Source organism: Homo sapiens, chromosome 12 (assembly GCF_000001405.40).
Source record: "Homo sapiens chromosome 12, GRCh38.p14 Primary Assembly".
NCBI lineage: Eukaryota > Metazoa > Chordata > Mammalia > Primates > Hominidae > Homo > Homo sapiens.
The window spans coordinates 1,970,403-1,987,396 of NC_000012.12; the positions used below are offsets into that span (position 1 = coordinate 1,970,403).

At 36.0% G+C, this 16,994-nt stretch overlaps 2 protein-coding genes across 33 annotated transcripts in view; one reads left to right on the top strand and one right to left on the bottom strand.

The window, feature by feature from the left end:
- DCP1B (decapping mRNA 1B) overlaps positions 1–16,994 on the bottom strand; it is a 62,867-nt gene that overhangs the window by 28,812 nt on the left and 17,061 nt on the right. The window lies entirely within an intron of this gene.
- The window catches only part of CACNA1C (calcium voltage-gated channel subunit alpha1 C), a 727,171-nt gene continuing 710,554 nt past the window's right edge, over positions 378–16,994 (top strand). For all 31 annotated transcript variants that reach the window (XM_017019926.3, XM_017019934.3, XM_017019946.3 and 28 more), the window contains exon 1: positions 378–799. In XM_017019926.3, the coding sequence (XP_016875415.1) occupies positions 661–799 (139 nt within the window). In that variant the 5' untranslated portion in view covers positions 378–660. The remainder of the gene's footprint in view (positions 800–16,994) is intronic.

Here is a 16,994-nt window from a genome sequence, read left to right on the forward strand (position 1 = left end):
CCAAAGGGGAAAAAAAAACCATTAACCAAGAGTTCTGGCTACCGAAAAGAGGCACCAAGATAAAATGCAGAACTGGGCCTAACTTTCTTCTCCCTAAAATAGTTTTGCAACTTGAGTGCATTCCCCTGGGAAAGAGGCTGTGAATTCCATGGAAGTATGCATTCCAAGTTTCCTGCCTCTTAGCCCTAAGGTCTACCAACCCCTGGACAAACCTATCACTCTTCCACACAAGAGGGTCTATCAAAGCAGTCTGTGGAGATATATAAAAACCAGAGATCACCATGCCTTAGGGAGGTGATGAGCTGACAGGCTGACAGAAACCATGAAGTTCACATTTCAATCCAAGTTTTCCCGTAAAGCCACTGGCTGAGAGGCCCATCCCTACATAGGCAGGGAGCAGAGCAGGGAAGACGAAAATACAAGGTTGAAAAGAATCAAGTAAGAAGGTGTTTTGTTTTGTTTTTTAGAATTCTAAAACTTAAAAGGAATTTTACTGTAACTTAAACTTGCAGCGATACGATACGGCCATGTCAACTTTTGTGGCACTGAAATGTTACTGCAGGAATAGCTTCTGGGTTTTAAAAAATTATAAGAGATCATGAGCAGGATAATTATTTAGCTTTAAAAATCAACCAATTAATATACATCTGGAAATTCACAATGCTTCGAGCCTTTGTTCAGCCTGGTACGCCTGCATACCAGCCGCTTCCCAGCCACCTGTCTGCCAACACGGAGGTCAAGTTTAAGGGTACTTTGGTGCATGAAGCTCAACTCAACTATTTCTACATCTCTCCTGGAGGTAAGAAACCCTAAAGTGAAATAAAGAGTAGGAAGAACATGTTGAAATTTACTCTAAATATCCTAATGATACCTAGAATGTGACTTCCTCACTCTAAGAACTCATCTCTCCATATTTAATCAGGATTTACCACACACCGTTGTAAAATTTTGCCTGTAACTGCACTATCCTGGTTTATGCCGTTCTTTGGAAATTCTCAATTGAAAAAAAGTGATGTTTGAGGCAACAGGCAATGCAATACTGCCTTTACATAATGAAACACCAATCTTTTACTTTCCTTTTAACTCCGTCAGTAAGATCAAGGAGATCAAAATTTCCATATAGACTTCATGTCTGGATTTTTTAGGTCCACAAAGACAAGGCAGAGAGCAAGCTGATTATATTCAGTAGTGGTATTTTCTTTTTAAATTTCTTCAGTGGAAAAACCAAAAGCTGGTCAAATTTTAAGAGGCTAGTTAAGGGGCCATTAAAGGCAGTGTCATGTCAGCGTCATTCAAATGTACATTTTCATTTGTAACCCTTTGATTCTTATTAGCATGGTGCATTAGTTCATTTTGCATGTTCTTTGGGGATTTGCCTTATCTCATTTATGTTCCTAATAAATATTTCTGTTTGATCTGTTCTTTTAAGATATTTATAATTTGTTTTATATTTTTACCCAAATACCATACAACTCCAAATCATGAATGATAGCTTGTAATCGTCTAATGAGGACATGTGATAATGTTTGTGTAAATTTTTAAAAGAAGATATATATCCATTCAATTAGGAAGTGGATGATAAACACATAATTACATGGGTAAAATTTAAATAGGCAGGACATCTGATTTGGTAATGTTCTTTCTAATATAACTTCACTAATTCCTCTCAAAAAGACAGGGAAATATGTTTTTCTTAGCATTCAGCAAGGAAGGCATTTAAGTTCCCTCTTTTTACTTGGAAAGCCACGGAAACGTGGTAGTGTGACATTACACAAACCTCTTCTGGGCATCTAAGGATAAACCAAAATTTAAAATTCCTTCAAACTCCACTCCTTTCATGAAGTCTTCCTCACAAGAGTAGAATAATATTTTCAATGTAAGGATGGAGAATATCTAATCATATATTTGTGTAAACACTTGTTTCTGAGACTTCATTCAAATATAATGTTTCTTGATTTACTATAGCATTTATCTAGATCAAGCTTTAATAAATCTGACCACATTGATGATGACTCGTTACTAGCATATGGTAGTACACATGCACACACAGCTACTAGGCATTTGAAAGATCCCAAGATATTTAAAAAAAACAGAAAAATAGAACCATGAAATTTTAGAGCCAGAAGTCAGGTAAGAAGCATGCAGTTCAAGAACCTATTTCACCAATGAGGAATCTGTGGTCTAACAAGGTTAAATAAGCTAGCCAAAGTCATTTTTCTTGGTTTAATCTGTTTCCCCTAAAACATGCCCTTCTCCCAGCCTTTCAAATGAAATACATGAAGCATTCAAATTTGTTTTTACATATTGGATTGAGTTCTAGGCTTGGTTATAAAAGACTGGAATTAGTCTTTTTAAACCAAAGTTCATATGGACTCTCAAAAGGAAAAAAAGAAGGATGGAATGAAGGGAGGGGGGAGATCAGTGAGGAAGGGAGGGAGGGAGAGGGAGAAAAAGAGAGAAAAGAAAGAGGAAGGGAATTAAGCTTTCTGGTAGTGGCAGTGTTTTCACAGCAGTAAACACTCGAGCAGCAATGACGCTGCCTGTGTGCTGGCATCCATAGATGGGAAACACAGGCTGCGTTTGGCCGGCTCTGTGCGGATTCTGTACTTCTTCCCCATTTGGAATGTTTGCACTCAAAATGCTTTCCTCCGGCATGTTCTCTAATGCCTTTAAAGTAATGTTCTTCCATTCACCTTCTGCGTTAGCTTTACTGACCAAACACGGACACAATCTTGTAAAACAAAATCTTCACTGGCCACTGAGAGTCTACATAGCACTGTTATCTTTGGCCCCTGGTCTGCTTCTTTTCATATGACATGGTTTTACTGCACCTCACAAATCAGCGATCCCATGACCTGAGAATAATGGAAGGTTCAAAGCAGATGAGAAGCAGTTTCTATTTTATGGGTGACTAATACTCATGAACATTTTGGGGGAAACAGTAGAAACAAACCTCCCCTTTCTAAATAAATTAATGTTATTAGAAAGTTAATGCCATTAAAAACAAACAAAACTCTCTGAATTAAAGCATTATACTAATTTGGATTAAATTAATATGTACTCTCCAACTATAAATGAGAATTTATTACTTTCCCAGTAAAAGACAGATTTAATCTTTTAGAAAGTTTTAATTTATAATGGATTCATGTTATATCATTCAATCTTCCTAATCTTCCCAGAGATCATCATCTTCCTAAACTGGGAACCTTGAGGTCATCTACTACCCTCAGGTTTACCAAAGGTCATATGGAATCTTTTTCATCGTATACTAATTTCCTAGTTTTATTTGTTCCTTTAATCTAAGAGATATAACAGAGTAAATAAACTTTTAAAAATTAGGAAGCAGAAAAGTCCATAGTTTACAACAAATATAAATAGAAACAACTTATTCTGCTTTGTTGGCCACTTAAATTTATATTTTCATTTGTTCATAATCTTGCTGAAAAATTTCAAAATCTCCTTGGCCACAAATATCATGCAGGGAGTCCCTAATACATCTTTTCCTTCTCTCTACTCGTCCTTGAAGACCCAGGCTTTCTCACTCCTCTAGGAATAAACAGTCCCAACTTTTTCTTTGCTCCTGTAGTTTTGTATATCCTTGTAGTAAAAAAGGTAATAAATTAAGCATTTATAAATCTGTTCCCTCCACTAGACTATAAGCTCCTGGAGGGGAGGACTTTGTTAAAACACCCAGTACAGCAAACAGCATGTGCAGACATTCAACAAATACTTGCTGAGTTGAAATGAAATCTAAGACTTCAAGCTCTTCTACCATCAATAACCCTTGTAATTGCTAATATCAATAATTATCACTTCCTGGAATAATTCAACATGTGGACTAGATATGCTAGAATTCTCTATCAATTGATTACACCTTCTACCAGAAATTTCAGCATGGACAGTCTCCTCATATCACCGCTTTTGTTCTCCTTCAACCTTCACTGAGAGTTTATTTTGCTTCAAACACTTTACCTTCTTATGCTTAAGTAGTGTTGATGGGATTCTGTCATTAGGATATGAGCTCCCGAAGACTGTATATTTCGATTGATCCAGCACTATGTAGACACTAATGTACTCGTTTAATGTGTATTTACTATTACAACTCTACCATATACCATTCTTCCTGATTGACTACTTGTTAGGCACTGGCAACTAAGAGCTCAAAGGATGCAACAATTCTGCAAAATCACATGCATTTCTCTTCATTATGGAAAAACAAAGGACAAATAATAACTAATAGTACTTTGGTCTACCAGAAAATCCAAGCTATTCATATTCTAGTCGCGTTTGATAATGGCAATCCCAAGCTTACATATATAAGCACCTGAATGACCTGAAAAATGTAAGATTTAGATGCATGTCAGTCATTCCAGCAACACACTGACAACTATCACCATAAGTGAATCTCAATGTACATAAATAAGTCCAGTCTCCTATAATCGCAGTTTTTGAGAAAGCTATGTTTAAACATGTCTATTTATGCTTAAGCTTATTTTTAAAACAGAATATTTCTACAGGTCAAAAATTTGTTCCAATGAAGAACAGACTTCTTCATATTTGAGCCAGATGATTTAATTGAGTGTTTAACAATGATAGGAATAGCTCTGCTGAAAATAGCCTAACTATAAAACACATGATCACAGAAATATTTCTACAATTTGACATAGCAGTAGTCTAGCCAAAGGAGCCTAGTGCTACTTCCTGATTAAAGAAAAGTCAGAGTTTCTTTATTTTTTCATTTTTACCTTAATCTGTGAATATAGACATAGGAGATACTACTTTCCAAAAGACTCTTTCCAAAAACCCTTTATGTTTAAACAGTTAAATTGTGTTTTGGTTCTACTATGAAATAAGAGCTCTAAGGCTATACATAAGGTAATTCTAATACAAGTTCTTGGCCAAAATTGTTTTCCTTCTTCAAAACCCATAATTTTTCCTTCTGTGGGTTAAGCAGTAAATTTACTTTGATTCCAGAACTTGATTATTTGAAACTATTTACTAAATGATTTTTGGACAAAAATTAGTAATATAAAACACAGAATCTAAAAGAATACACATTATATAGCCATAATGACCACTTACTATAGATAAAGGGTAGGGAAACTAAAAGATGCTTTCCTTATTAAGCATTTAAGAAAATGTTTTGGAACCCAGCTTTTCTCTGCCAAGAATTTAGACTTCCACCATGCTAAACTGGGCTCTCTTAAACACAAAACATAAAATACACTGCATGTCCAAGCCACAGATGCAGCGTATCAATCTGAATAGCATTACTATGTTTTCTTGGTCAAGCTGAGAACCTTAATAGTCTTTATGGTTTAGGATAAAACAAGTGACTTTACTTTGTAGCAGCTGTAAATCACCATATATGACTTTGCCACATGGGTTTTTCCTCACCTCAGCATGTCAGATTGTTAAGTTACATAAGAAATGTATATATTCACATGAAGGTTCTCTCCGTGAGTCCCCTGGCAGTTATGATGGAGAAGTAGAAACTGTGTTAATTGGATGGTCAGGGTGAAGAGAAGGGTTGTTTACTCACACTGTGTATCTGCTTATGTGTGTGTTTCAAGGAACTATCTGGTGTCACAACTCAACACACAGAAAAATAGAAATACGAAATCCAGAGATACCACAAGGCTCAAGAGTGAAATTCTGCTTTACTTGAGATTTTTCAGAGCCTTTCTTTAGATGGATAGTTTTCTTTAGAGTTTAGATCCCTTCCTTTCAGCCTAAGTGGAGTACTGACAGAGAACAAAAAAGTCATTTTGGATTAAAGGTCACAGTGACAAGTTTCATCACTCAAGTCACAGTAGACGTATAACCCTTTATCATATATTAACATGTTAGCTCTCTAAGCAATGGTGCATAATAAATAGATCAATTTTTCAGTCGGAATGGCAAAGGAGACTTAGAGACACAAAGTAAGATTCAGTGACCACATTATGATTTTTAAATTTTGGTGGCTCTTCTTTCTTTCTCATTAAATGCAGGCTTAAAAGGAGTCCTTGAAAGTTTCTAATTCAACCAACCACTCCTCTCACATACAGTAAAAGAGCCTCAAGACTGTATAGGTTACCTATTCTGACTAAATATGAAATGTCAAATTCCTCGGCTCCCATTCCTCACTGCTCATGATGTGAATGAGTCTACTTTAAGGTCTTGTCTTCCTGGGCAGATCCCGAAGAGAAATGTATTCTGTTATTCCTGCAAATACTAAGTTTTTGCCTAGTAAGAATGTCAAGTATTTTTAGCCATATAGTTACTTTAAATATTAGTTTCTTGACCCTAGAGAGCTTTAGGGGTTCAATAAAATCCCTAAAACTATATGCAAAATGTCATGTATATATGCAAATTTTGGGAGGTGAAAAAGTGCAAAGCATAGACCCTCTAAAACAATGTCTGGCACACAGCAGTCAAGCAAATATATTTGAGGAAAGGGGGAGAGGGAGGGAGGGAGGGGGAGGAAGGAAAGTAGGAAGTAAAGAAGGAAGAAATGAAGGAAAAAAGGGAAGAAGAAAAGTCTTCAGATTCTCATAGGGGTTTGTGACTCACAGAAGATTAGGAACTACTATTTGCGACTATCAATATGCCAATAAATATCCTAGAATGGAAAACAACCCTCAGTTATCTCTGGGCAGATAATGTGTCTTTCATTTACTTGGTAATAAATTTACACAGAGTTCACTTTTAACTTTCCAGATTGCTTTTGTAATCACTGCCTAAACTGATTGCAAGGTTAAGAAAAGACGTAACAAAGTCTCCAAGTCTTAGAATTTGTTAAGTTGGAAGAGCTTTTATTCCTCCATGTAGCCTGAAGCCTAGGAGAAAGCTTAAAAAGCACAGATCTGTTAGCATGCTCGGCCATGATGAGGGTGAATCACACAGTTCAGCTGTGGCTACTGGTTTGCCTTCGTTGGAGAGGTGTCATTCTCCGTCTCTACCATGAAGTGGGAAACAGGAAGACATTTTGGAAAGCTCGACAACTTTGTGACTCCTGCTTGATCACTCCAAGCAGCGTATCTTCAAAGCTTTGTCTTATGCATTCTGATGTTCCAGATGCCACACAAAATCATCAGATACACATATACACATATAACAATTCTAGAATATAAGTGATTTGCGAATTTTGTTAAGTACACTGTACATGTCTATTTCTTATCTAAATCTGTTTATTTCCTGTGTTTATTTGGCACCACAGAATATAAGTAAAATATAAGATATGGTCTTTGCCCATAAGGGGCCTGTAATTTATTATCCATACCACTGCCTTCTCAATAGCCTAGATAATTAGCAACCAATTAATTAATGGTAACATAGTGGCAGAGAAAACGTTTTACAAAATGCATTCTAAGTATAGTGAGCAATATTGTTTCCAAATTATGACTCATCATTGTTCTCTAAATTTGACTTTCTTACTGCTATTATTTACTATGGGTATATACAGGTACACTTTAACTTTGGAGCTTTGGAAGACAATCAAGTTTATACTTCATAAGATGTTCTATAATAGCCACCAAGAAAATATCTACTATTATATTTTTAAACTGTATTGTTTTTATATGTTTCATTCTAGAGAAAGCACTGCAGAATAATGCTAAGGCTCCTCTTTGCTAGGAAATTGACATTTAAAAAAATTGACTCTCAAGAGAGAAGTGGAAGGTTAATTCCTTCCACTCAGGAAAAATATTAAGTTATACGGTTTCCATATTTTTGGCAAAGAGAAATCTTGCTTCTCTGACCATGGGGAGAAAGCAGATGTCGCAACCCAGAGAAAGGGGGCATAGCCTTCTCACTGATCTGGAAACTAGAAATGCAGACTCAACTATTTCTATTACCTCACATTACTTGGGGCTTTCAGTTGACATCAAGCTTTTGGTATTATGTTGGTTTAAAGTACTGAAGATGTGTTTTAGAACAAGGACTGCTTTATTTCCAGGTTGAAAAAGCCAAGACGCAAAGTAATAAAGAGTTAGTGTAATATTCTAACCAACACAGCAGAGATCAGGGTTAGCAGAAACACTGGTTAATAAATGTCAGGAAAATAAAGAAGGGTAAAAAATTATCCTTAAATTTTCATTTATTTAAATACTTCTTTTATAAGGTTCAATTATTTCTACTTTCTTACATTGAAGAATCATTTATGTACAAGAAAATGCACAGATCTTAAAGTGTTCTGCTCAGTGAGTTGGCAATAAAACACTCTTATGTAACCAACACTGAAAACAAGATATAAAATATTTTTATCACTCTTTTCCAGTCAACAACCACACCCCACTTCCACCACCAGCCCCAGCAGAGACAACCAATTTTTTACTTCTATCACCCTAGATTAGTTTTGCCTGTTCTTCAACTTCATATAAACTTCATATAAATGGGGTCGTACAGTATATCCTCTTTTGTAGATGGCTTGCTTTGCTCAACATGTTTCTGAAATTAATTCATGTTGTTGAATATATCAGTAGTTCATTTCTTCTTATCGCTGAGTAGTGTTCTATTATTATATACCAAAATTTGTTCATCTATGTAACTATTAATGGGTATCCAGGTTATTACCAGAGTTTTTTGCTATTATGAATAAAACTGCTTTGAGCATTTGTGTAAAAGTCTTTGTGTGGACATGTGCTTTCGGAGTCTCACTCTGTCACCCAGGCTGGAGTGCAATGGCGCGATCTTGGCTCACTGCTGCAACCTCCGCCTCCCGCGTTCAAGAAATTCTCCTGCCTCAGGCTCCCAAGTGGCTGGGATTACACGTGCCCGCCATCGAGCCTGGCTAATTTTTTTTATTTTTAGTAGAGATGGGGTTTCGCCATGTTGGCCAGGCTGGTCTCAAACTCCTGACCTCAGGTGATCCGCCTGCTTCGGCCTCCCAAAGTGTTGGGATTACAAGCGTGAGCCACAGCGCCTGGATTTTTTGTTTGTTTGTCTTTGAGACGGAGTCTGGCTTCATCGCCCAGGCTGGAGTGCAGTGGTGCCATCTTGGCTCACTACAACCTCCACCTTCAGGGTTCAAGTGATCCTGCCTTGGCCTCCCCAGTAGCTGGGATCACAGGGGCCTGCCACCATGCCTGGCTAATTTTTGTATTTTTAGTAGAGAGGGGGTTTCACCATGTTGGCCAGGCTCGTCTCGAACTCCTGACCTCAAGTGATCCGCCCGCCTCAGCCTCCCATAGTGTTGGGATTACAGGCGTGAGCCACCGTGCCCAGCCCATTTCTCTTAAGTAAATAACTACGAACGGAACTTGTTGGATCATACGCTAGTTATATGTTTAAGTTTATGAGAAATTGCCAAATAGTTCTCCAAAGTAGTTGTAGCATATTACTCTTTCACAAGCAATGTATCAAAGTTTCCATTGCTCCACATCCTCATTAACACTTGTCTTTTTAATTTTAGCCATTCTAAGGAGTATGTGATATTCTTATTTGGGCTTTAATCTGCATAGGTTTCCAATGTCCAATAAGCATATGAAGAAATGCTCAATACAGTCTGTTGTTATGGTAAAATGCAAATTAAAATCACAATGAGATATCACTTCAGAATTCCCAGAAAATTAAAAAAAACAAACAATATCAAGTTTTGACAAGGATGTGGAGCAAATGGGAAGTCTTAGACATTATTGGAGAGAGTACAAATAGGCACATAACTGTTCAGCAGTATCTCTAAAGCTAAACAAACCCATACACTATGTCCCCATCAATTTCACTCCTAGGTATAAACCCAAGATAGATAGGCATACATATCCACCTAAAAAACATGGACAGGAATGTTCATGGCAACTTTATTCAGAATAGCTCAAATTTGGAAATAATTCAAGTATCTATCGATAGGAGAATAAATAGACTGCAATATAATGATGCAGTGGAGTACTACACAGAATAAAAAGCAAGAAACTACGGCTACATGCATTCACTTCAAAGTACCTGAGGAATCATGTTAAGAATCTTTTCATGTGACTATTGGTATTTGTATATCTTCTTTTTAAAAGCGTCTTTTCAAATCTTTTGCTAATTTTTAAGTTGGCTTGTCTTTCTGTTGTTAATTTCTAAGTGTTATTTACATATTCTCAATATAGTGCTGAGTCAGATATATGTACATGTTCTCAATATGTTTTCCCAGTCTGTGGTTTTTCTTTTCATTATCCCAAAGGTATCTTAAGAACAGAAGTTTTTAATTTGATGAAATTTTTACTTTTGATGAGGTAAAATTTATCATTTTTTGTTTTATAGTAAATGCTTATAAGTGTCATTTTAAATCCAGTGTTTGGTAATACTACCTTTAACTATTTTTAATAAAGAGTTATTTATTTCGTTGCTTCTATAAAAATGAAAAAAAGTTCTTATTTCATTTGCAGATAAAACATCGATAGCATAAGCTTTTCTGTTTAAACCACACGGCCATGGTTTAACAGGGCCAGGAGGAAACAGAGATGTGGCCTGTTTTCATGTATCATAATTAAGATATCAAGTTTAACACAGTGAATAAACTTCTTAAATATCAAATCACAATATCTCAATAAGCATAAAACAAGTTGAAGGAGACATCCATAACAGTGCTTTTTAGAATTTAAATAAAGTTCTATAAAGAAAATTTATATTATATATATGCATTATACATCATCTTGTTCACATAGATAAAACTAACATTTTCCCACATTACATATCTCTTCCTTGAACTATTAAATTTCCCATGATGAGGATGTATGGCATTCTCACAACTCACAATCACCTCTAGGAACTTGTAGGTAAATGTTACCACTACACATATTAAAGTAACCTTGAGAAGCTGAGCGGCTCCTAGGTAAGCTGCTAAAATCACTCACTGCTTCGGGTTTCTACACAGGAACCACAGAGGCTCCTTAATGCCTAATGGCTAATGCTCCAAAAGAAAAACTAAAGAAATAGTTGTGAACTTTTAGGTTAAGTTTCAGCCATAGCTTTGAATAAAGAAATCCAATAAAAACAATTCAGTACTCATTGCAAATATTTAATTGTGCACATTTAATGCAAGGAATTCAGTGCTATGGGGGACTGGAAAGACACCTTTGCCCTGAAGGTGCCTGCACTCTAACAGAGAAGCCAGGACAAAATATTATACATAAGGTAAACTATAAGCACAACTAGTAATTGCCTTTATTTCTAGCTCAGATTTAGCATGTTATTTTGAACATATATGTTTACATGTCTGTCTTTCGTGCTAGGATGGTAAACTGTAAGGGGGAAGGGATATAGCTTATTCGTTACTGCCAAAACCCAACACAGAATCAGTTTCAACAGACAAGTGCTCAATAACAAATGAGCAAAGCAAATATAAGTACAACATAAAAGACATATATGCTGCAGTGAGACATCACAGCTACACAGGGGACTCACAAAAACATCCAGGGAGGTAAAGTTCCAGCTGGGTTTTGAAATATGAGTAGAATTTATCTGGTAGAGATTGGTCAGAATGAGGGAGAGAATTTAAGGAGAAAAAAGAATATTTAAAAGCATGCAGGTAAGAGTGTTCTGGGAAAGTGTATATGTAGTTGTTTGCTTGGAGCATTAGGCAAGCGTGCAAGAGTAGCAGCAGATGTGATCTGAAAGGGTAACTGACCTGACTACAGCCAGCTTTAAATGTTAGGTGAAAAGTTTTACTTGGAAGGCATTTCAGATTTTGAGAAGGAAAGCAAATTAATTAGGCTTGTGCTACAGGAAGATAAATCCAGCTGTGGTTTTGGATGGAGGGGATAAGCCAGATGTGAATTATAAGGCTAACGACATATCCTTTTTATGAATTGCTGGATTCAATTTGCTAGTATTTTTTCCTTTTTTATTGTGTTAAAATATTAAAAACATTAAATTTACAGTTTAAAATATGCAGTTCAGTGGCATTAAGCACATCCACAATATTGTGCAACCATCACCGCTATCCATCTCCAGAACTTTTTCATCATCCCAAACTAAAACTCTGTACCCATTAGAAGATAACTCCCCACTCTCCATTCCCTGAAGCCCCTGAAAACCACTATTTTACTTTCTGTCTGTATGAATTTGACTACTCTAGGTACCTCACAGAAGTGGAATCATACAATATTTGTTCTTTTGTGTCTGGTTTAACTTAGCATAATGTCTTCAAGGTTCATTCACGTTGTACTATATATATAATTTTATTCTCTTTTGAGGTTGAATAATATTCCATTGTATGTGTATATAATATTTTGTTTATCCATTCATTCACTGATGGATGTTTGGGTTATTCCCACCATTTGGCTACTGTGAATAATGCTACTATAAACATTTTTTTGTTCGCATTTTGCTGAGGATTTTTATACCTATATTCACAAGAGACATTGATCAATAATTTTCTTTTCTTGAAATGTCTTTGCCTTGTTTTGGTATCAGGATAATGCTGCCCTCATAAAATGAGTTGGAAAATAATACCTCTTCTACTTTCTGAAAGAGATTGTATAGAATTGGTATTATTCCTCCCTTGAACATTTGGTAGAATTCACCAGTTAAACTATCTGAACTTGGAGTTTTGTTAGATTTTTAATTACAAATTCAATTCCTTATTATGGGACTATTCAGCTTACCTATTTTTCTTGAGTTAATTCTGATGATTTGTATTTCTCAGTGAATTAGTCCATTTCATCTAAGTTGCTGAATTATAGTACTCCCTTATTATCCTTTTAATGTCTGTAGATAGCCTTTCTTTCATTTCTGATACTGCTAATTTGTGTCTTCTTTTTTTTTTTCCTTCATCAGTCTGGCCAGGTGTTTACCAGTTTTACTGATTCTTTTCAAAGATAATCAGGTTTTGGTTTCACTAATTTTCTCTAAACAGTTTTTTTGTTTTTTATCTCATTGATTTCTCTTCTTTTTATTTCTTTCCTTCTGTTTGCTTTGGATTTAATATACTCTTCTCCTATTTTCTTTAAGTGAACGTTTGAATTACTGACTTAAGAACTTTCTTCTTTTCCAATACAAGTATTTGATGCTATAAATTTCCCTGTAAGTCCAACTTTGGTTGCAACTGAAATATTATAATTTTCATTGTTATTCAGTTCAAATGTTCTCTAATTTTCTTTCTTCTTTGACATGACTTTTTCAGAAGTATGCTGTTTAATTTCCAAATATTTGGGGATATTCCAGATACCTTTCTGTTGTTGATGTCTAATTTAATTCTATTGTGGTCCCAAGAATATACTTTGTATGATTTCAACTCTTTAAAAATTTTTAAGGTTTGCTTTATGACCTACGATAAGGTTTATCTTGGGGAATGTTTCACGTGCACTTGAGAAGAACGTCCATTCTGCTGTCATTCGATAGAATATAATATAAATGACAGCTGTGTTTAGTTGATAGTGTTGTTCAAGTCTTCCATATACTTGCTGTTTTCTGTCCTCTTGCTCTATTGATTGTAGAAAGTGGAGCACTAAATTCTCCAAGTAACTGCAGAATTAAAAAAAAAACAAAAACTTCTCCTTTCGGTTCTATCACTTTTTGCTTCACACACTTTGAAGCTCTGTATTTAGGTGCATACACATTAATAATTATTATGCCTTTTGGATGACTTTATCCCTATATCATTATGCAATGTCGTTTTTTATCCCTGGTAATTTTCATTGTTCTGACATCTACTTTGTCTGATGTTAATCTAGACACCCCAGTTTTCTTTTCATTAGTATTTGCATGGTATATCTTTCTTCATCCTTTTACCTTTAACCTATCTATATTGTTACATTTAAAATGGGTTTTGTGTAGAAAGCATATAGTTAGGCCATGCTTTTTTAATCCAATCTGGCAATCTCTTTTAATCACTATGTTAGCCCATTTACATGTAACGTAACTACCGATATGGTTGAACTTGGGTAGGTCTACCGTTTTATTTTTTGTTTAATGTTTGTCATGTTTTTTGCTCTCCTGTTACCCTCTTTCTTGTCTTCTTTTGGGTTATTTGAATTTTTTAGTATTCTATTTTATCTCTTGGTGATATCTCTATATTTCTTTTTAGTGGTTGCTCTAAGAAATACAATATACATATCTAACTTTACCCAGTCTATACTTAGAGTTTTTCTTTTACCACTTCAAACAGAATGTAAAGGCTCTATAAGTGTACAGGTCCATTTACCCTCTCTTTTTATGTTATAGTTGTCACATGTATCACATCCGTATACACTGAACCTCCTTCCTGACAATGTTATAACTTTTGCTTTCAACAGTCACATGTATTTTAAAGAATTTGAGAGGAGAAAAAATAAATCTTTTGTAATTACCCGTATATTTACTATTTCTGTTGTTCCTACTTCATCCTGCAATTCCAGCTTTCCCTTTGATATTATTCCTTCCAGCCTGAAGAATTTCTTTTAGCATTTATTCTACAGTGGGTCTTCTGGTAAAAAAAAAAAAAAAAAAAAAAAGGTTCTTTTTATGTTTCCTTTATCAGAGTATATGTCTTTATTTCACCTTCATTCCTGAATGATATTTTTGCTGGAAATAGAATTCTAGGTTAATAGCTCTTTTATTTCCAAACTTGAAAATGTTGCTCCACTGTCTTCTGGCCTACATAATTTCTGATAAGAAATCTGCAGTCATTCAAAACATTATTATCCTAGATGTAACACAATGGTTTTCTCTGGTTTGCTTTCAAGATTAAAAAAAAAAAAAAATCTTTGTTTTTCAGCAGTTTGATTGTGACTGTCATGTCATGGGCATGGTTTTCTTTGGGTTTATTCTGTTTGGGGATTCACTGAGTTCCTTGAATCTATACATTTGTCTCCTTCATTAGACTGGGAAAGGTTTTGGACATTATTTTTTCAAATATTTATGAGTCTCTCCTCTTTATTAGACTTCAATGGCACAAATTAGACCTTCTGATATTGCCCCACGGATTTCTGAAGGCCCTGTTCATTTTTAAAAAACATCTTGGCTCTATATTCTTCAGGTTTGAAAATTTCTATTGACCTATCTATGAGTTCACTAACTCTTCTTTCCACTGTCATCTGCATTTTGCTATTAAGACCATCCAAGAAATAGTATATTATTCAGTTCCAAATTTTCCATTTGGTTATTTTTTATACCTATTTTTGTGCCAAGAATTTCTATCTTTCCATTCTTTTCAAGAGTATCCAGTTTTACCTCACAGAGCATGGTAATAACTATCTTAATGTCACTATCTTATAATTCTAACATCCAGATCATCTCAGGGTGGCTACTGATTTTTTCCTTGACAGTTTGGCATATTTTCCTGGCTAGTAATTTTGGATTGCACCCTGGACATTTTTATTATTTTGTGAGACTCAGAGTCCTCTTGAAACCCTCCAGAGAATGTTCACTTTGTATATTTGAGAAAGCAATCAATTCAGTTAGGTTTAGATAAGAAGCTCTGTCTTGCTGCCTGTGGATGATGCTTCCCATATCAGTTCCATTTTCTTTTTTCTTTTTTTTTGAGACGAGTCTCCCTCTGTCGCCCAGGCTGGAGTGCAGTGGTGCGATCTTGGCTCACTGCAAGCTCCACCTCCTGGGTTCACGCCATTCTCCTGCCTCAGCCTCCCAAGTAGCTGGGACTGCAGGTGCCTGCCACCACACTTGGCTAATTTTGTTTTGTATTTTTAGTAGAGATGGAGTTTCACCGTGTTAGCCAGGATGGTCTCGATCTCCTGACCTCGTGATCTGCCCGCCTTGGCCTCCCAAAGTGCTGGGATTACAGGCGTGAGCCACTGCGCCCAGCCGTCAGTTCTATTTTCAAAGGTGTTTATGTCTGCCCTATACATATACTAGTCTGAATTTGGAATAATGGTTTATATTGTAAGTTAATTCTCAAAGCTGTTGTTATTTCCTGGGTTCTGTTACATGTATGTAGCTCACAGGTGGACCCAGGATTTGCATGAGTTCCTAGACAGAATTAGGAGATCTCCTCATCCAGCTCCCTCCTCTAGAATTGCTCCCACTCGCCAGCTGTCAGGGGCCTTTTTCCCCAGTCTTCCGACTACAAAGTCAGGGTTTATCTCAGGGTTTTAGACTCTCACACTGTCAGACAGTCTGTGCAGCAAAAGAAAATAAAAATAAAAATACATAATGGGATTTTCCTCCACTCTTCAGACCACAGGGGCAGAGACAGGGTCTTTCTTGGGATGTCAGGTGCCTGTGCTACCACCATGACCACCACAGTGGCAGTTCAGCTTTCCCTGCAACTGGCTTCACGGTAGGGGTAGAAGAGTAAAAGGGAGGTAGGGAAAGAAAAGGGGGAAGTTTTTAGAAAGAGGAGTTTCTCTCAGGTTTTGTTATTTTTTTTTTCCTAGCGTTCTGTGACTTGGCGCATTCTTGGGTCAAAGCCAGTTGATAAAAGAGGAAAGAATAAAGCCAGGAACTCACCACCATAGCAGTTTTTCTTCAAGTTCTGATTGCTCTCCTCAGTGTGTCTGTTGTCATTTACTTTCAGAGGCCCCAGTTAGTTGCTTTTGTAATCTGCCCAGAACTTTTAGTTGTAAACAGTGGGAGAGATATACTGTAGTGAACTTATTCTATTTTGGATGATGCCAGAAGTTCAATCCCTTTTTGCTATGGGGGGTTATGAAACATCCCAAGTAACACATAATGAAAGCCTGAACTGGAATAGAAGTGGGGATAGAACGAAGGAGAGAAGCTACAGAACCACTCCAGAATTAAGAAACATGGCTGTGAAGGCTTCAAAAGGTTTACTATTACCACGCATGCTTAAAAAAAAGAACTTACAGGAACTCCCAGCTTTACAAACGATTTGTTAATACAAATGGGCATTAGAAGTACTCTGCCCTGCTGCTAAGGAAATTATATTCTTGGCCTCTATACAGTTTTATTCTTGAATGGATTTTCCTACAGAAATAATCCTACATATGCTAGTGCTGTATTTCATATGTACATCATTATAATACTAGTATGCTACTCTTAAACAGGTGCACACTGGGCTAGAAAGGCTTTTGTGAGTTGACTTGGAAAGCTAACCACAACTAAAATTATGTTTTTTATGAGAGAAT